The sequence below is a fragment of the Homo sapiens genome, chromosome 2, assembly GCF_000001405.40.
Source record: "Homo sapiens chromosome 2, GRCh38.p14 Primary Assembly".
NCBI lineage: Eukaryota > Metazoa > Chordata > Mammalia > Primates > Hominidae > Homo > Homo sapiens.
Genome location: NC_000002.12, coordinates 152,399,459 through 152,420,767, shown reverse-complemented (window position 1 = coordinate 152,420,767; position 21,309 = coordinate 152,399,459). Strand labels below are relative to the sequence as shown.

The 21,309-nt window shown below is 41.1% G+C and overlaps 1 protein-coding gene across 13 annotated transcripts in view, besides 3 other annotated features; it reads right to left on the bottom strand.

The window, feature by feature from the left end:
* The window catches only part of FMNL2 (formin like 2), a 314,653-nt gene that overhangs the window by 229,059 nt on the left and 64,285 nt on the right, over window positions 1-21,309 (bottom strand). The gene's annotated exons all lie outside the window — the stretch shown is intronic.
* Window positions 15,199-15,493: an enhancer, noted in NCBI's record as "tiled region #2662; HepG2 Activating DNase matched - State 5:Enh, and K562 Activating non-DNase unmatched - State 22:ReprW". NCBI's record gives its function as "activates a minimal TATA promoter and a strong SV40 promoter by Sharpr-MPRA in HepG2 and K562 cells {active_cell/tissue: HepG2 | K562}" and the evidence as "EXISTENCE:reporter gene assay evidence [ECO:0000049][PMID:27701403]".
* Window positions 18,218-18,717: an enhancer, noted in NCBI's record as "H3K4me1 hESC enhancer chr2:153258565-153259064 (GRCh37/hg19 assembly coordinates)". NCBI's record gives its function as "activates a minimal SCP1, AML or CMV promoter by ChIP-STARR-seq in naive H9 embryonic stem cells {active_cell/tissue: H9 hESC(naive)}" and the evidence as "EXISTENCE:reporter gene assay evidence [ECO:0000049][PMID:30033119]".
* Window positions 18,718-19,219: an enhancer, noted in NCBI's record as "H3K4me1 hESC enhancer chr2:153258063-153258564 (GRCh37/hg19 assembly coordinates)". NCBI's record gives its function as "activates a minimal SCP1, AML or CMV promoter by ChIP-STARR-seq in primed H9 embryonic stem cells {active_cell/tissue: H9 hESC(primed)}" and the evidence as "EXISTENCE:reporter gene assay evidence [ECO:0000049][PMID:30033119]".

Genomic DNA, 21,309 nt, shown 5'->3' with positions numbered 1-21,309 from the left:
CATAGTGGAGGATAAAGTCCCTCAGGTCCATTCAAATCACTTTTCTCTTTGCTTTAGTCTGCAGATCTCCACATTAATCAGTTGGGATGACCTGGGAGGCAGCTCAGTGCTGCATCTATCTGGCAATTTTTGGAATGAGATGTCGCTGGTCAGCTCCTTCCTGAAACAGAGATGAGCTCACCATTGATACCCAATGCCCCAGTGCTGAGTACCATCCTTGTCACTTCTGCCTTGTAAGATAAGCAACAATTCTCGGAGAAAGACCTTATTAAAGCCAGTACTTTCAGATCATACTCAGAAACCGATGCTTCTTTCCAAAAACTTCAGGTTCAAAAAGCAGTTACTAGGAAAGGGGTGTGACTTTTTTTCCTACTGGCATTTTAAGTAATATTCAGCTTGTACTCTTAAAAATCACGTTTACAAATGAAACTCTACAGAAAACACTTTTTAACTCAGTTCTACCAACAGTTCCATTTGGCTTACAGGCATTCTCTGTATATTCTGAAAGTTTCTATAATTTGTGGTGACCAAATTCGTCTTTTCACAAGGCATTCATTTCTGTGTCACTACTCTCTTTTAAATACTCTGGTGTTTACTAACCATACCCTGTAATCTCTGTTAATGGGGTAGTTCAAGATTCCTTTTCAAAGGCTTTTTGCTTTAATTACTGCTTTAGCCTTTTGGTAAAACTCGGCTTTTAGCAAACTGGCCTGCAGGGGACAAGTTTTTAAATTATTCTCAAGCTTTCCCTATCCCTTTCCAAGTTTTTCCAAACTACTTAAAAACCTCTCAGCCTTGAGGGAAGGATGATAAATTGGATGATTTTGCTGTCTCTGATGCCTGGCATTAGTCTTGGTTTAATCCATTTTTGTCTCACCAGAAACTTGCCTGTTACAATCGGAGTCTCTCCCATATTCTGCAGCTTCCAGCAAGTGTATTCCCTGATAAAGCTCCCCCAGAGTTCCAAAACAGGTCACAGGGAGCCCAACAGTCCTCCTGGGGTGGTCTCAGGGGCGCCTAGACACAGTTTTGCCCTGTGTTTCTCCTTTCTGTAGTGAAGCCCACATTTGGATTCTTGGTTCAAATGCTTTTCTTCAGAAAACTGGTAACTTCAGGATGGATCCCAGAAAAAAGCTATTAAAATTAGTCATTTTAGATCTCAAAAATAAATTAATTTACTCCTCCTGAGGCTTGGTACCCTTTGACCATCACGTTACCATTTCCCCCAGCCCCTGGTAACCACTCATCTACTTTCTGCCTCTATGAATTCGATTGTTTTGATCCCACATATGTAAGAACATGTGGTGTCTTTCTGTGTTTCGCTTACTTCACTTAGCATGTTTTCTAATTCCACTCATGTTGTCGCAAATGACAGAATTTCTTCCTTTTTTGAGGGCTATTCCACAGCATGGTAAATACAATAATAGCATACTGTACATTTCGATATCACTAGGAGAAAATCTCAAATGTTATAAAAAAGTTAAATATTTGAGGTGAATAGGTTAGGTAGCTTGATTTAATCATTCCACATTGAGTTCAAACATCATTACATCACTTTGTACCCCCTTAAGTATTTGCAACTATAATTTGTCCATATATAATAAAAAACAAAAAAAGTCCTTTGAAAGGCAAAAAGAGAACATGACAAAATATTAACTGATCAAGGATGAAAAATAAGTACACTCTGTTTAAACATAGTTTTAAAAAACCTATGCATAAGTACAAATCAAAACCACAATGAGATGCTGTTTCATACCCATCAGAATGACTATTATTAAAAAAAAAAAAAAAGGAAAAGACACATATCCTTTGCAAGCATATAAGGATATGGAGGGCTCGGAACCCTCGTGCATTGCTAGGGTGCAGCAGACACCGTGGAAACAGTATGATGCTTCCTCACAAAGCTAAACATAGAATTACCATATGATTCAGCAACTCCACTTCCAGTTACATACTCAAAAGTACTGAAAGCAGAAACTTAAACAGATACTTGTAACCAATGTTCATAGTAGCATTATGTAGAATAACCTAAAGGTAGAAACAACTCATATGTCCATCAATAGATGCATAGATAAACAAAATGAGGTTTCTATCCATGCAATGGAGTATTACTGTTCAGCCTTAAAAAAGAATGAAATTCTGACAAATGCTACAACAAGAATGAACCTTACCAACATTATACTAAGTGAAATCAACCAGACACAAAAGGACACAACTTCCCTGATTCCACTTATGAGTTACATTGAATAGGCATATTCATGGGGACTGAGAAGGAGAACAGTGGTTACCAGGGGAAGGGGTGGGGGGAATGAAGAGTTACTGTTTAATGGGTAGAGAGTTTCAGTTTGGGAACATGAAAAGTTCTGGACACAGACGGTGAAGATCATTGCACCACCAACAATACAAATGTACTTAATGCCACTGAACCGTATGCTTAAAAATGGCAAGGATGGTAAATTTTATCTTAACGTTTTACCACAGCAAAAAATAAAAATTAAAAACGTGGCCAAAAAATGAAATGAAAAAGAAAATCACCATGTAAATGCAATGGACTAAGGGGTAATTTTTCTATGTTTCAATTCTTCCAAAAGAGCTGCTATAATTTTTAAAAATTAATGCATTTGCTGGGTGCAGTGGCTTATGCCTGTAATCCTAGCAGTTTGGGAGTCTAAGGCAGGCAGATTATCTGAGCTCAGGAGTTCGAGACCACCCTGGGCAACATGGTGAAACCCCATCTCTACTAAAATACAAAAAATTAGCCAGGCATGGTGGCAAGCACCTGTAGTCCCACCTACTCGGGAGGCTGAGGCATGAGAATTGCTTAAACCCAGAAGGCAGAGGTTCAATCAGCGAGATCAGTGAGCCGAGATCATGACACTGCACTCCAGCCTGGGCAAACAGAGCAAGACTCTGTCTCAAAAGAAAAAATAATAATAATAAAAATAATGCATTTACTCACACACTCACTGGTGCACAAATAAATAGGCAGGGCAGGTCAAAAATAACAGTCTGGGTTCAGTGGGAAATTTAGCTCTAACAATATGAGGCACAGAGGAGGTGAGTTACATGTCAGAGGAGCAGGCAGCAACCGTAGATGGAAGCAGAGCAAAAGGGGATATACATCAGGTGCCAGCATGTTTTCTTCCTTCTGATCTTTTGCCTCGAAAGCCAGCCTTTCAGCCTAAGCCTCAAGGCCCTGATCACCTTGGGTGATGTGCACAGATCACAGGAACACCTCAATGTAAGCAAATCCAACCTTGCAATGCCCTAGACTATTTCCTGATCCCCGCTTGGTCCCACTGTCAGCACAGCACAACAACCAACAAGGCTGTTAACCTGCCCCAAGAGTCTTACAAATCAGCAGATTCAGCTGACAGAAAGCCAAGGAATTTTCTCTCCACATCGATGTCATTCAATGAAGACTTCTGCTTAAACCAGAACCGTGAAGTTTTGTATCCGGAGACTTCAAGCACAAGTTCAACACCAACCTCCAACAGACACCTCTCAATCACTGGCCCTAAAGGAGCAGAAGGGCATCCATTCACAGATCAATGTGTGTATTTTCTAATTAGCTTAAGGAACTTTGCACATGTCAGATTTGAACGTCTATGCTACCTTATGGTTTGTTCAGGTAATTTCGTGTTCCCTAATGAGACTAGGATAAGTAATCGTGTAGAAGTTAATACAGAATTGTAATTCACTACAGATACCCACAGAGGACAACCTATGCCTGTATTGTTAAGGTTTGACTATCCAGATCTACAAATTCAAGTTGAAACTTATTTCAGCCCTCCTTGGAACAGTCCACTAATCTAGAAAACACTGGGACTATTCTTCCCGAGCAGTGAAACATCCACACAGGTTAGTAACTACAGGCTGCTCTAATTAATTACCTGAGACACAATTGGTGGATGTTAGAGTTTGTTATGTTGTTGTATTTTTAATTCCATTTGCCTACTTGATCCACATTTTCATGCCTTGGCTGTGACACTTTAGAAATTAAAACATCCCAATAGTGTATAATTAAAAGTTAAATATAGCAGCTACAATCTAATTTCATTGAAAGTCTCCTCCAAATCACAGAAGTGCCACTGGCCTGGCCTGGCTAGAAGTCAGCATGGACAACTCTAGATTCAGGCACTTTCAACTGTGATGCATTTGTAAAAGCTGCAGCTGGGCAATGGAAAGAAGTAACATATTTGATTCTAGCTTTGGTCTTTTACTTCAAATGTTAGAGAAACTGAGATGTTATGGAAGCTTTGCCAACCATCTAAGCAGCCCTCTCCAGTGGGGGATAAACTCTGGTGCAGTTTCTTATAGAAATTAGAAAGTCAGTTCATTCTTCATAAAAGCTGAAGACAAAAAATAAATGAGTCAGTAGTTACTATTAGTTACTAGTTTTGCTTTGATAAAAGAAGTGAACACCACTTCCCAAGTCAATTCCAGAAATGTGGTAAGTACACCACACTCCCTGCCCTGTCTCTGGAGGTATCTTTGTATCCTCTTTCACCAGCAACCTCCAGCTCTCATAGGCATCCTGGTAAGATGAGAAGACTTCTGCCTCTTCCCTTATGGTTACCGAAGAAAGTTTCAATAGTACCTCTGGAAAATGAGCCGTATGTCCATAACACTATCCCTCTACTCACCAGTCTCTCTAGAAGTAGTTTTGCAATCCTGAAAAGCCCTCCTCCATCCATGCTTGGCAGATGCTCCAATAAGTGGGGTTTTTCCAAAACTCAGTGAGGCCAACACTGAACATCCATTTCCTGCATGCCAAACTTCACATGAGCTGGCAGCCCTAGGAAGGGGCATCTGAATTCAGCTCTTGCACTTATCTGGATAAAGACGGCTGCCATTGTTGCCCTGGTGACCACATTCACTTTGGCAGAAGCAGCTATGGTAAATATTTCTTCAGAGAATCAATTCACATCAACCATGTCCCTTTGGTGAAGAAACTACTTGCTAATTTATCTTGGGAAAACTTTTCTCTGAAAGTTTACAATGTTTAAAGGCGGCACTATCTCTCCTCTGACTTCTATGGCATAGCATGGAGCCCACAACTGGCTTATTTGGAACAAACTTAATATCCTAGGAGTAGATACCAACTATAGCATAGTTCAGAGGGGGGAAAAAATTCTCTTGAACTCAATATTAGTATTACCCACCTCAAAAATAGACCAGTGTGTCAGCAAGCTCTACCTGAGGTATGCCTAGATTCTAAGTTGCCAAAATGGAAAACATCAGGCAGGAGAAAACAGAAGACACAAATCATATCTGTAGAGTGAGTCACCGTTTTCAAAAACAGCTTTAGGAAACAATAGATCACCTTCTCCCTACAACAAGCCTGTGAAGTAAGCTGAGTGTTATCATCCCTATTGTACAGATAAGGCTGAAGAGGTGAGGTCATTTACCCACAGGTACTCAAAATGCAGCAGAGCTGCGTGGTGAACTGAGGTCTTGACAAATCCAAGCTGCTTCTGTATAGACCATGCTGTCTCCGAGCCAAGAACCTGCATGATTCAAAAACTCCTCCATCACTGAGAGGTGGGTGTTCACATTAACATGATCAATCCCTGGGGTTTTTTTGTTTTTTTTTTTTAATGTATCAGAACTGACATAAAGTTGCCAAAGGGAAGAAGATTCACACCTCTGCTGTAGGTTTCTGCACCACAGCTTAAAATGACCCAAGTATTAGTGACCCACAGCACAGCTGAATCTGTGGAAAGATACTTTGTACTGGAATTTTGTGATATTTTGATAAGTCCAAGAGGAACTCAGGGACCTTCCCACACATATATCTCACATTCCCCTGACAAACAATGGCAGTTGCTAGACACCCAAGGTCTCCATCACTTCATTAAATCTTTTGTAAGAGTATTACAGGCAGCAACCAGTGAGTGTTGAGGTACACAGGTATGGCTGACAGTTAATGTGAATGCACATGAAAGAGGGCAACCTCAGAGTTAGGAAAAGAAGAATCATCTTCATCCAAAAGAAACAGCTAGGAAGGACTGGTAGAAGGTGCAGAGTTGTAAAGACTTGAGCTTACCTAAAATGGCCTCGAACTCTCCAGCTCGAACTCTCCAGCTAAAATGGCCTCGAACTCTCCAGATGCCAGGGCCATCTGGTTTAGGTGGACCTGGTCATTCAAATCTCCACTTGAGGGGCTACTGTGGGCCAGATGTCATACTAGAAAGAGACAGGATAGTCCTTGCTATGAAAGAGCTTTCAGCCTCAATGGGAAACCAGAAAGCTTCCATCTTTATTCTAGGGAGCTCACAGCTCAGCGGTGAGGATGTCCCCTTCTGACTAACACATGTCCACGGAGAAGTGATACTGGGCAATAACTTTAATGAAAGTTACAAACAGGTTCAGCAAGTAAGAGCTACTATGAGAGAGATTCAAGTAGGAAATAAGGGTAACATCACTCCACCCCCAGTGAGATTCATTAAGAATCATGAGCTTTTCCAAAGGAAAGCAATATACAAAAAACAAAGAGGTGAAAGAGTCTGTATTAGACTGTAGTAAATCAAAGACGTATCCTATAATCTGTAGGATAACCACAAGAAGAGTAAAATACTGTGTAGTTAGCAGGTTCAGAAATAGGAAAAATGGACTGAAAATCTGTGCCTAATCCAAAGTCAAAAAGGAGGAAAAAAAAACATAAAACAGGTAGATCAAATAGAAAACAAACTGTAAGACAGCAAACATAAGCTCGTGTACATCAATAATCACATTTATGGCAAACAGATGCATTACTCCAAATAAAATAACCTAAAAACAAAAATCCTTTTTAAATGGACAAAGACAGTGAGGAAGAAGAACAACTCAAGTACATCACAAAAAGCATGCAAGAGGATAAAAGTCACCACATGGGTCTGTCTTGTTGCCCACAAGGAGGAGTCTGCCAAGCCTATCATGGTGCTGTGTCCATCGGTATCCGTATCTTTCACAACTCATTTGTTTGCCTCCATGCAGTGTTAGGAAAGCAAATCACTTTATTGGAGAAGGCCATAGAAAACTCTGCTGTCTTGCTGATTCTTTATTTAGAAAGCCCTTGTTCCTCCCTGTTAGGGCTAATTCATTTAGTGCATCCTTGCATATGCACATTAGACCCTGCATTGTATCTAGATTATCACATTGTTTTATTGGAAACTGCCTAACTACTTTTCTGGGGGACACCATTAATCATGGAAAGGGATCCACTAGTCCTACCCACATTCCTTGCCCCACCTTCTCCTCCTCCCCCATGCCCCAGCCTCCAAGTACCAGGCTCCATTAGTATAGTAATAAAACCACTACTGTTTGGTTAGCAGTAATGAGTTCTAAAAGTATCAATGGAGTGTTTCATGGATAAAGACCATTGTTAGGTGCAGCAAACTTTCCCGGCATCAATCAACTACATACAGTAGATTGTAGCAGCATTTTTTTTTTAAGCATGTCAGGAATGCAATGAAAAATAGCACAATTCTTACTCCTCAAGGACAATACAATGTAGCTCAGACAACTAAACACAATGACTGGTGAATAAATACACTAATTTCTACAGAAGCTGGCTCTATTGTATCCTTGTTTTAAAATCTGGGTTTCATTGTCCTAGTGTCCTAGTGTCTGTTGCCACCTGCCCACCCCCAAAAACTGTCACCTTGACTTGCCAATGATATCTTTTATGTTTTATATCTGTTAACTTTTTAAGATGAGGAAGATAAGAAGGAAGGAAAGTAGAGTCAAATAGTTTTGTCATAGTTTTCTATCTGCTGGGTTAGAAAGGGGCTAGCTGATTAACCCTCCTGGGGTTAATGGTTCAACAGGTTGAGCCATGAGATTGCTGCTATTCAACCATTTCTGACCTATAACAGCAGCAAGTTCATATGGTCCAAACTAATGGCAACAGAAATACTTGACTACTTGGTTAAGAAAAGATATGGAAATAATTTCCATTTCAGTTTAGCTTTTTTTTTGAGACAGGGTCTCACTGTGTCACCCAGGTTGGAGTGCAGCAGCACAATCATGGCTCACTGCAGCCTCACCTCCTGAGTTCAAGTGATCCTCCCACCTCAGCCTCCCAAGTAGCTGGGAGTACAGGTGCACACAACCACACCTGGCTAATTTTTGTATTTTTTTTAAGAGATGGGGTCTTGCTATGTTGCCCAGGCTGGTCTTCAATGCCTGGGCTAAAGCAATCTGCCCACCTCTGCCTTCCCAAGTGCTGGGATTATAAGCATGAGTCACCGTACCTGGCCCTGTTTCAATTTTTTTCTAATTTATATATATATATATATATATATATATATATATATATATATATATATATATATATAAAATATACAGAAGAAAGTAAGAGGAAATATAAGACTGAAGGGAGAAGAGACAGAATCAGAAAATATTCCCTCTAAACGGCATTCCACCAAAATTCATACATAAACTGCAAATTTTTGATCCTCCTTTTTCCTCCTACCCTAGGGAAAAAGTCTATCTTTTGGTATTCTTTCTGTGCCTCTCATTTAGCTTATAAAAACAATACACAAGGGCAACTTTCATCAGGCTCTGGCTCCAAATGCCACCTGCCAAGTGCTCGAAGACAATACTAAGAGGAAAAAGCCAGTCTCATTTATACAGGTCAGAGAAGGCTTTAATGAGTGATAACACAGGAAAGGAAATAAAAGCTTACAGTTAGCAGCATTCAAGGAGATGAAGTAGCTTAGGGAGAGGGAGATTAACCCAAAATGAGTTTGTAACCTACTGTTTGGCTTCCAAATGACACTTGGGATGCTTTTATGATCTCAGCTATGGGAATACCACAATGGGGTCACACCTCCCTGGATCACAAAAGCTACACAGTAGGGCTAACACACAGCCCCACCCACTTAAATGTTCATCAGAGAATTAGCTATAACCTCAAAGGAAAGCTGAATGTCCAAAGGGTACCAAGGTTACCTCATGGCACCCAATAAAAGGGTACCATGTGCTCAGCTCCCAGAAGTCTGGCCACATGGGAATCATTCAAGTAAAATACACTGTTCAGAGTGCTAGGAATTTGCTAAGATTTAATGGGAGTGAAATGGAAGCGGTGCTAGAGACAGTGACAACACCTGGCCCTAGCTAATAGAATGAACAAATGATCAGGACTTTTCCCCAATATTTAAGGTGAGCTGTAATCCTACTTACAGTGATGGGCAAAAATAACTGGCTGGCTCTTGAGTTAGCCCAAAGTGGGTTAACTTTCTCTTAGGAAGGAGATGGGAGGAGTGGATTTTAGGACCAACTTCATACACCACTTCTCACTCCAGGAGAGTACTGCCAATGAAATGCATGGATAATATAAGCAAAGATGGCCTATGGGCAGATTCCTAAGGGAAGTGGTATATTTCCTGTCTTGAGCAAGCACCTACTTCTCTTTTTTCAGCATTCTTCCTCCCACTGGTGGTATGTAGAATACACACCACTTCACTGACACACACACCCCCAAATACACAACCAATTATGCCTGCTGTTTGTTAGGGCTTTTATTAGGGAGTATAATTTACCTTCCCTTCCCAGAATTTCTCTTCAACTCTTATCAAAAATCTTATCTGCTTCTGTCAAATTCTCTCAGGACAGCATATTTAGCTGACTATCCCTTAGGAAAGGAAGTGAAAACTAACCAATGGCTTCATATGTTTTTTCTAATAGGAAATATTTTGCTGGGGGGCAAAGAAGGAGGGAAAGGAGGATGTTTCTTTTAAAGAGTATTGCTCTAATTAATTCAGAGACCAGGTGGCTTGCTCTTCTTTAACTAGAAGTAATTAAGAGCTATCAGTACACTTAGTGATTCTGTAGCAAGCACAGAGGGGAAATAATTTGGGGCAAAGGGAACTAGCAGGGCTCTCCTCCCACAACGACCCCTCTAGGAAGTCAGCAAGCTACCGTAAGGCCACTCTGCTCACAACATTTATACTTCTCTCCCAAGGGGGGGTCTCATTTCAATCAAGCAAATCCTTCATGGGGATAGGATTCACTTTTTTACCCAGAAGAATAAGTTTATGTTAAGGGAATAAAAAGGTTCAAGCATTCACCATGAGTCCGAAAAGCCAAGCACAGACAGACCTTGGTGGGGTGGGGGTGAAGGGATGGTGGTCCACCAGGCGTGAGCCCCTTGACTGGCCCACTATTGAAGTCACAGTACCAAATTCAAGATTTAGCTAGCATTCCTCCTGAGTCAGTGAGAAATTGGATCAGTTACATGTTGCTCAGCCAGGTCTGAGAATCCTGGGGCCTTGGCACAATAGCTTTCAAAATACTACATTGACTCAGCAAGAACTCTGACCATGAACAGACTTCCTCTCCTGGTTCTAAAAGTCTGATCTGGAGAAATCAGAATAAATGTAGTCCTTCCCAGAGAAGGTCTTGTCAATCAATGACTATCACTGTACTACTGCAGTGAGACGCCAATCATTTCACTGGCTAAATGAGAAGACAATGTGATGGTGTGATGTGTGAATTTGAGCTCCACTGGGAGTAGGTACTGGTCTGCTGCTAGAGTCAACACCTGTACATGTGACCAAAGCATGGCACAAAGGCACTGTGTTCACAACCTGTGCTCCATATCGACAGCAAGCACTTGGATTGACAGCTGTTTTCTGAAGGCTGAAAGATGAAATCAACACTGATGAAAGACTATTGGCTGTTCTCTAGGAAGAAGAGTCCATAAACATGACCGAGACAGAACTGTATTGTTCATTCCTGCCACCCCCGTTGCTTCTTTTCCAAAACTGTCACTTAAAAACCATCTTTTTCCTACTCGTTTTGTCTCGAGTTCACACACCTAGACTATTACTAAGCTATTATTGTTTCTGCCTCTAAAATATATCTTTGGGTCAATTTTTCTTTATTTTGATAACCCTGACTACATCCACCAGGTGCAGTATTGCATCATGGTTACAAATCCCAGCTTTGCCCCTAAGCAATATGACCCTGGGAAAATTATCTACTACTCCCAGCTACCATCTGAAAATGGTGACTGTAAGGATTAAATGGGGGAAAAACACATACAAAGTTCTCCATAAAGTATCAATGCCATCATCAGCTTCATCGTTAATCAGGGTCCGATTACTGCATAACTACTACTATGCCATGTCCTCTGTACCCAGAGTCACCATTAGCAGTCATGTTGGTGGCAACTCCATTTGATGTAACTCTCAACTATATCCCATATCAAATGGGAAACTTATCCACAAGACTGTGAAACTTCACCATGCCTTCTCCATGACCTCACTCACACTCCTTTCCTTAACTTCCCCCAGTCAGGGAAACTAACTCTCTGCTCCTGACCTCCTTTTTAAACTTCTGAAAAAAGCAGCAGGGGAGGGGCTCTCAAACTAGTTTTACCCACAGCAGAGACCATGATTTTATTACCTTTCTCCATATCCTCACCAAAAAAAACCATTGCTTATATAAAGAATTAATAAGTGGCGTCTTATCATCTTTATACTGAAGGCATTTTTGCCAGCTGCCATTTTTCTAATCCCTCACAGCAATTGAGAATTTTTTTTAAGCCTTGAATGTGGCAGTCGGATTTGAGCTAATCATTTGGAATTATACTGTCTTTATTTCTTTGGAGCATCTTTGAAGTATCTTGTTATATAAATGAAATATGGGGTGAGGAAGGAAAGGATGCACCTACGAACACTGCTTCGAAGGTTCTTGACTCATAACTTTAAAAGCCTGAGAAGAAATTTATGAAGCCAATTGCAAACCCTTCTTCCCTCTTAACCAGGAAACTTCTAGTTCTTTGTTGTTTTAAAGTATCTGCTAAGGATTGACTTTAGAAATCAATGCACTGCACAGCAAGCATTTCACCCATCCTGACAGAACTACAGATGGTCCCTGACTTACAATTTTCCAATTTTACAATGGTGCAAAAGCGATATATATTCAGTAGAAACCATAATTCCAGTACCCATACGACCATTCTGTTTTTTCAATTTCAGTACAGTATTCAATAAATTACATGAGATATTCAACACTTTATTATAATAGGCTTTGTGTTAGATGGTTTTGCCAACTATAGGCTAATGTCAGTGTTCTCAGCATGTTTAAGGTAGTCTAGGCTAGGATGTTTCATAGGGTAGCTATATTAAATGCATTTTTGACTTACAATATTGTCAATATTTTCAACTTACAATGGGTTTATCAGGGCAAAAAAAAACCCGTAAGTCTAGGAGCATCTGTATTTCAAGGAGAAACAAAATCTCACACACAATTCCTAAATTTCATTTAATCTCTGCTATAGCTTGGGAAAAACAGACAAGAGGGAAGAAAATGCTAAGCCAGCAGTTTGCCAGCAAATATGAAGCCCCAGATACTGTAATTTCAATTCTCACTCCCTGGAAGCTTTAAATGCATAAATGTTTTATAAACCAATTGACAAAGCTTACTCACTTGTCCTAAGAAACATAATACGACAAAGACACAGAAGAGAACATTAGGGCTACGATAAAGATACAAGGTAGAATTCATTGTGTTTAAAAGTGTTTTTTTTAAAAAAGTTCTTTGAAGATAAAAAGACCTAAGTGCTACATATGATTACTTATCACAACTACTCAATATCTATTATCCTACAGGCAGAATCCAAGGCTCTGTGTTAAGTAACTTTCAAATATGTACCTTATTCTGAGCTGGGAACAACACTAATCCACCTACCAGAGAAACTCTCCAACCCTGTTCTCTGCCACCTTCCAGCCCCCATATGTCACTCAGAAGGCAGAGTGACTTTTCCAACCCAAGTTACTTAAGCTAATTCTCGTCTTTCACAAACAGATCCTTCAGCAGCCCCCAGCCTACCTGCACAAAATGCTGGATACCTTGGAAGAGCTACAGGAACTGTTTCTTTCAGCTACTGAGTACCTACTGTGTGCCAGGTACTGCAGTGGTGATTGTTTTTTATTAGACACCACTATGATTAATTTGCTCAGCCTAGAAAATCCATTTCTCCCTGGAAGATGAAGAAAAGGGAAGACAAAGAGGTTTGCTTCTAATTAAGACGAAACCAACAAACAAGCCTGACCCAGGCCATGAAATTGTACTCTCATTGGTTTATGAACACCAGAAAGAGGGCTTGGTACAGCAGCAGCCAGAGCCAACAGACTCAATGGGGCAGATAAAAATTCAAAATTCAGCCAAAATGCTGAAAAGAGAAGAAACATAGGTTCCTCTTCGTTTAATGCACGAGCCACTCTGGCTACTAGGCCACAACTGAGCAGACAAAAAGATTTGGGGACTTTTCCAGTGAACCGAGAAATGTGAGCAGGAGGGGCAGGCATGAAGAGCTCCACCCACACCCCTGAAGGGAGGCGCTGTCAGGAGTCGGCAGAAAGGCAGACACTGACACACCGCATCGCCCAGGGCTGGAAGGGTTTCTCCCAAACGACTGTAAAAAAAGAAATGAAAAGGGAAACAAATAGCATCTGCTAATAGTAACTCCTCATATTCCATTGATGTTATGTTCACCCTATTACTAGAACTCCCTGAGGGTGGCAGGCATTTAGAGGAAATGACATTCTGAAGCTTCAGGGGGAAAGAAAAAAAAAACAAAAACAGAAAGTGAAAAATATTTTAGAGTTCTTTAAGATGTTAATTTAACATCAACATAAGTATAATGACAAACACTCATTAATTACCTTAAGCACTGTGCAAAGAGTTTTCAGATGCTCGGTTTCTAATCGTCCCAGCAACCCAGTATGGAAAATAATATTTTCCTGACTTTTTCAGGTGGGAAAACTGATGCTTAGAGAAGTTAATCTTTCCTCTCAAGATTACAAAGTGACAGAGCCAGGATGAAGTCTGGGTGACTCAGGAAGCTTTTTTCTTCTTTTCCAGTTCATCACATTCAATACCTTTAAATCATTTATAAAAATGTTTCAGTTATAGTCCTATGCCAGGCACCAGGAAGTAATGTGAGAAAATGAAAACAATAAACTTTTCTAAATCAGTAAGAACAAAATGTAAATGAAACGTCTTAGACTTAAAGTGGAACAGTACGTGGTGCCTGGAAGGTCATATGGTTAAATTCTAAATTTAACCATTCTCTCAGACTAAATTTGCTCATCTGTAAAATGGAGGTGATAATATCAAAAGCAATGACTCAACTCAGATAAAAGGTACACTTCCACACAAACATCATTTGTCAAAAATTATGCTACCATCATAACAATTCAAATCTAGGAGGAGAAAGTGTGGGCTGTAGAAGGAATTGAGACTACCATCTTGATGGAGCTATCAAATATCTTCAATCACATCATTTAAGTCACTCAAAAGGGGAAGAAGCCCATAACAAAATAATGGGCCTTAGCTCCCACACACCAGTCTCTTTCCTCCTCTTCCTCTGATTCTTTTCTCTACTGTTAACACCAATTGTAACCTAACAGAGTGCTAATGTCTGCTCAAGTTCAAGCTTACACTATAGCTCTCTCTCCCCACTCAAAATGCTACTGAACACAGTAGATAACTATCTCAGTTCCCTCTTTGACAAGAAAAACAACATGAATGTAAATTACATGGAACCCATATTCTATAATACTGGAATTAAAGAATAAGGATTTAACCACATTGCAGACATTCTCTACTACTGAAGGAAAAAAATGTGCAGCATACACTTATAGACATAGGGAATCATAACATTTCAGAGCCTGAAACAACAAATGAAACTAATCTAATCCAGCCTCCTTTTGTAGTCACAAGAGATATATATACCTTGCCCAAAATCTGTCTTAAGGCTAAATTATGACAGAATGTCCTGAAAATCAGAAGAATTCTTACTCTTCTACATCCCCCTAGCTTCTGAATAACAACTCAATGTATATCATGTATTCTTAAAGACTTTACTATGTTATAATATATGTAGTTTTAAATATCCACCCATATCAATATCATTCTGCATAGATAGAACTTCCAATAAGGCAGCCAAGTGAACTGTTCAAAAACCTACTGCAAACCATAAAAATCAAAGACCCAGAACCAGGAATCAGGAGACCCAGGTACTAATTAGTCCTGATTATCACTGACCAGTTTCTAGATCTCAAGTCACTTTACTTCAACTTGGCCTTTGTTTCTAAAACCATAAAGAGGAGTTGGACCAGTTGGTCTCTAGGGTCCTTTCCAACACCTAAAGCTCCCTAATTCTCAACCACCTGGCACGCAAGGTAGACACAGGAAAACCAACACTTTCATTACAAAAAGTCACAAGGAAAAAAAATCACAAGACATCACAAGAGCTTTAAGGAAAACTGTGTTGAAGCTATGCTTGCTTTGGGGTTTTTCCAGAGGTAAGCACTGTGTTTTCCAAAGGCAAACAGTTCCCTTTCTCCAGAACAAGGACAGGATGTTGGGGACATGAGTCATTCTGTTGACATTCTAGGTACTGGTCAGTTGGAGGACAGGAACCACATCAGCTTCCTAGAGAGCACAGAAGAAAAATCTGCTCCAAAAAAGACCAGAAAGGAAGATGCGTTGAATGTCAGAAGGACCTTTGCTTCCCAAACCTTTCCAATCCAGCCTTCTAGTTAATGATAATGCCCAGCTCATTATAGCCAAAGGAGTAAAAACTTATTTCTAGAACCCCAGCGTCCATACAAGCAGCTAGATGCCAGGGATAAAACAGCCTCCCAATACTAGTAAGACCACCAACAATTTACAGCCTCAACTTCTGTTCCCAAGCATGTATCCTTTCTTTCTCAACATGTCAGAATACGGATGTGCCTTTACCAACCATTCTTTCCGGAGACAGGAATTAACAAAGACTGGTAAGAACCCCCGTCAGTTTTTCAAACTGGAGGAAGGTGATGCAGTACTCAGGGCCTGTTGTAGGGAGGCTCTGCTTATCTTAAGACAAAAATCAACTTGTAGATAGACATCAACACACAATGTTCTCCATCTCATGTTATTTCAACATGGGAGAAAATGCCACATGTGACCAGCTCATCCTCCTCTTCTCAAAAAAATTTTATACATATAATTTATTCCACACCCACTCTAGGATGGTAGCTAACGGCACCCACTGGACTGAATGATGCAAATAAGGATCCGTTCTGCCTTTGTTGTGTTTAATGCTGCTGCCACTGCCACCGCCACCACCACCAATTTTTGATTAGGACTCTGCTGGAGAACTCTGCAGAAAAATTAATCTAAACATAATCCTTCTGAATCCCTTACCTACATCAGAATTCCAGGTCACTCCAAATATGCATTCACTCACTCAGCCATCATTGGCAATCAGATGACACAAACACCCCATTACGAGTAATTCTGAGGGCTCAAGTTGTAGGAAGAAACAGAAAATGACATTATCCCCAAAGATGATATATATTTCATTATTTTTTCTATTTAAATTCAGCTTGGTGTCCCCTTTCTCTGTTAAGTGCCTGTGAACCACTGCAATGCTATGGGATGTGAGGAGATACAAGATAACCAAAAAACAAAATGTTTATGTAGGAAAGGAAAAGCTTGTCCATTGATACGTATTTAACTGAACAAACCGATGATACACAGTAGTAACAGTTACATTCATTGAAGATGCATTAATTCATTCAATAAACATGTTCTGGGGCTGCAGAAAGACCCAGAGATGGAAGTCTGAAGATGTGCTTCAATGTCCAAAAAAAAGGCGGGGGGTATGGATTGATAACCAATGTGTGAAGTCCTTTTACATTTATTTATTTATTTATTGAGACGGAGTCTCGCTCTGTCACCAGGCTGCAGTGCAGTGGCGTGATCTCGGCTCACTGCAACCTCTGCCTCCTGGGTTCAAGCAATTCTCCTGCCTCAGCCTCCCAAGAAGCTGGGACTACAGGGGCTCACCACCATGTCCAACTAATTTTTGCATTTTTAGTAGAGAGGGGGTTTCACCATGTTGGCCAGGTTGGTCTCAATCTCTTGGCCTCATGATCTACCCACCTTGGCATCCCAAAGTGCTGGGATTACAGGCGTGAGCCACTGTGCCCGGCCCTACATTTATTTCTTATAATTCTGTTAGCTAAAGATCATTTTAGAGACAACAGGGTCACAAAGGTGACGTGAATTGGGCAGCAGAGCTGAGACCAAAACCTTAGCTTTCAGGCCACCAAGTATGTGATCTGTCACTACTCCTACACCAGGCAGAAAGCATTACAAAGGCACACAAAAAGTCAAAGAGGAATTCTGTAGTGCCAGAAAGGAAGTACTTAAAAAAAAAAAATGAGTGTATGCCAAGAAAGGGACACAGAAGCCAAGTAAGGAGCTCCCAATGGTCAAAGCTGAAACGATTCAAACAAAATAAAGCAGTATTAGATTCTAACCCAAAGGATAAAAACATCCATGAGTCCACACTGATACAAATGACTGAATACATAAATGGGGAAGAAGAGACAAATCTCCCAGGCAGAAGAATTCCAAATAAGTTAGATAGATCCTCCTCTCTCAACATCCCACTCCTCAAGTGTACGCTGTACACAGTGACGTCCTTCTGAAGATGACAGAGCTGTTTGGGTTTTTGCTTGTTGTTTTTACAGTTTTGTGGGTTTTTTTTTTTTTTCAGTTTACAGTACAGAAACTTGGCAAACGCTACCTCCGCCAAGTGATAAGGATCAGCATGTGATAAGTCACACTGATATGTGATGAAAATGGCACTTTACCTCTGTCATCCTCCCCCTCAAAATCCACAACCCCAGTTGAATCGCCACAGAAAAACAACAGACAAATCTCAATTGAGGGGTATTCTACAAAACACCTGACCAGTACTCCTCGAAACTGTCAAGATCATCAAAAACAAGGAAAGTCTGGGACACTGTCACAACCAAAAATAGCCTGGGGCTCCACGACAACTAAATGTGACACCGCATCCTGGATGGGATCCCCGGACCGAAAAAGAACATTAAGTATCAACTGAGGAAAGGTGAATAAAGCACAGACTTTAGCTAATTATAAGGTAACTGTATTGGCTCATTAAGTGTGATAAACATACCATTCTAACTTAAGATAATAATGGGGGAAACTAGATACAGGATATGTGGGAATTCTCTGTATTATAGCCTCATTTTTCCCATACATCTGAAACTATACTACAACAAAAAGTTTATTTTTTAAAAAGTCAAAGAGGAAGGAATGAGAGAGCTGTGTGCAAGGGAGAGCAGATGAATGAACCTGGCCAAATTCATTTTGGCAGCAACTATCTGTCCTTGCACCTTCCTACCCTCACTCTCCTGTCTTCGTGGACCAGTAAACATCACAAAAGATCTTCAAGGCAGAATTCAGTTGAGGTCTCAATTTGCTCCTGTTAAGAGCTGGGCCACACTCAGAGGGTAGATCAGTTTTATTCAGTGACCAGAGATCCAATTGGCACTTTCTGCTCTTTTCCAAGAGGGAAAGGATCCTGGAGCCCGCTCCCCAAAAACAGCAGGGAATGTGCCTGGCCTGCTAAGGAAAGATACTTCATGCAGGTTCCCCTCCACTCCGCCCTCTGACTTAGAGCACACCTGTTCATACCTTCATGTTTCACCACTATTTACAGATGAGAACAACGCTTAGCATTTATGGGCTTTTAAAAGATCAAACACGGCCGGGCGTAGTGGCTCACGCCTGTAATCTCAGCACTTTGGGAGGCCAAGGCGGGCGGATCATGAGGTCAGGAGATCGAGACCATCCTGGCTAACATGGTGAAACCCTGTCTCTACTAAAAATACAAAAAATTAGCTGGGTGGCATGTGCCTGTAGTCCCAGCTACTCAGGAGGCTGAGGCAGGAGAATGGCATGTGAGCCCGGGAGGCGGAGGTTGCAGTGAGCTGAGATCGCGCCACTGCATTCCAGCCTGGGTGACAGAAAGAGACTCCGTCTCAAAAAAAAAAAAAAAAAAAAAAAAAGATTAAACACAACATCTGAAACTACCTAAAAATAGTTCAGTTTTTTTCTCTGCCTCTCTCTTTTTGGTCAATTTTCAAGTTTTATGAATAGCGTATTAGGCCAAACTGATTATAATAACCACTTCATCAAGCACCTGTCAGAAATGAACTTTAGGCTCAAAGGCAGGAGAGGAGCACCTGGAGAACTCTAAGAAATGGAAAAAAGCCCCAACCTGAATCAACAGCCTCCCCTCCACTGACCTAACAAGCACACCCAAATCCAAGGCCAATCTCTAAATAAAGATTTCAAATGAAACTGTGAATGCCGCTGACATGGTCATGAACTTATTCTTTGATATTTTGCACAGATTAAAGCTTTTTGCCTCCAAGCACTTCTCCTTCCCCTTTCAAGATCAAAAAGGAAGAATTCTTCAAGCATAAATGACAGGTGGGATTTCAATTCAACTCAACTAACTCATGGGCATCTACCAGGTGAAAAGGCAGTGTGCCAGGTATGCAGAAACCACTAGGACTGTGTATGCCTCCTGTGTCACTTCATTTGGAGGGGTGAGATGTCCAACGTGAACTTTTAGGGACCTTTATTAGGACACACATTTATTTTCTTTGACAGGACACATTTAAATTAATAGCTTCTCCTAAAGGCATTGAAGAACTACATAGGGACTTCTGTAAAATAATACTTTTTGAAACTGATAAATTCCCCAAACTTTCAGAGCTAAAATTCCCTCCACTCCATCCCACCCCAGTGTCCATAAATGCAGTCATATCACAGGCCCAGGCCTGTTGAGAGCTACAATGAAATAGTCTTAGCAGTTCACACTTCTCCTAGTACATGAAACTGTTTCACAGGATAATTCCCAACATCTTCCTACATGTAACTTTATTGAGAACTGAGTCACATACTCCTTGCAGCCAAATGAAGGTTCAACCCTTTTGCTGGCATCGCCTGCCTCCAATTCCTCCCTGGCTGTGGTTTGGGCAGGATACACGTGGGAAGAAAAAAGAAAGAAAACTACAAAATCATTACCCCTAAAGCAGTGGGGCTCAACTATGGGTGACTGCCCCCCAGGGCATATTCAGCAGTCTACAGACATTTTTGGTTGACATAATTGGGAAGAGGCAGTGCTACTCAGTGGCCTATAGTGGGCAGGGACCAGGGGTGCCACTCAGCATCCTACAAAGCACAGGACACACCTATGACATAACAGTTATCTGGTCCCAAATGCATAAATAGTGTTAAGGTTAAGAAACCTTGTTCTAAAGCCATAAAGGAAACAAACTGCACAAGAAAACAGGTAGGTAGAAATATACAAGTTATACTGATTCCTCCTCCATACTCTTTGCAGCATCTTCCTTCTGCCCCCTAAAATTTAAGTTTTGCTCATAAGGCCATACCCTCTGCCTGCTTCCCTTGAATCTCTAAAAGAGCATTCTTTATTTTTTTTATTTTTTTTGTTTTTTTGAGACCGAGTCTGGCTCTGTCACCCAGGCCTGGAGTGCAGTGGCGCGATCTCAGCTCACTGCAACCTCCTCCACCTCCTGGATTCAAGCGATTCTTCTGCCTCAGCCCACAGAGTAGCTGGGACTGCAGGCATGTGCCACCACATCCAGCTGCTTTTTGTATTTTTTATTAGAGACGGAGTTTCGCCATGTTGGCCAGGCTAGTCTTAAACCCCGACCTCAAGTGATCCGCCCGCCTCGGCTTCCCAAAGTGCTGGGACCACAGGCATGAGCCACTGCGCCCGGCCCATTCTTTGTTTTTCAACCCACTTTCTATCTGTTGCCATCTCCAATCTCTATCCAAGATGTCTAATTTTATGATTGATCACTTGCTGTGATCAACCTCAAACTCAACTCATCAAAACAAAATGCATCATCAGGGCTTCTAAGCCGACTCCTCTGCTGCCTGTCCTGTTTCAGTAAATGTCACACCACTTTCCCCAGGACCCAGGTTCAAACCCCAAGAGCCACTTTCATTCCACTTCCTCCCCACCTATCTACTCACACAGTTTTGCTCAGCACTCTTCATCCAGTAGCTAGCACTCCACCTGCCACATAGAACTCACCCAAATATCTAATACATATAGAAACACTATTAAAGACATTAAGGTCATCTTTAACTGCTTCCTCACTTCCCAGCCTCTCAATCGAATCGATTGCAAAGCCTTACAAATTCTGCCCCAAGGTGTAAAGGCACCAATACAAGTTCCCTCCCTAAAGTCTAAATAACCTAATCCATCCCCATACAAATGGCAGATCAATCTTCCTCAAGCATAATCCCCATTATGTCACTACTTCACTGCCAACCCCAGAAAAAAAACTGGTCAACAGCCTATCAAATCCTTCCACCTCTACCTTGACACTGGCAGGTAGGTTCCATGGGTCCAACACCCCATCTCAGGTTCCCCACCCAGGCTTTTGTCTCCTACTTCCTTTCAAT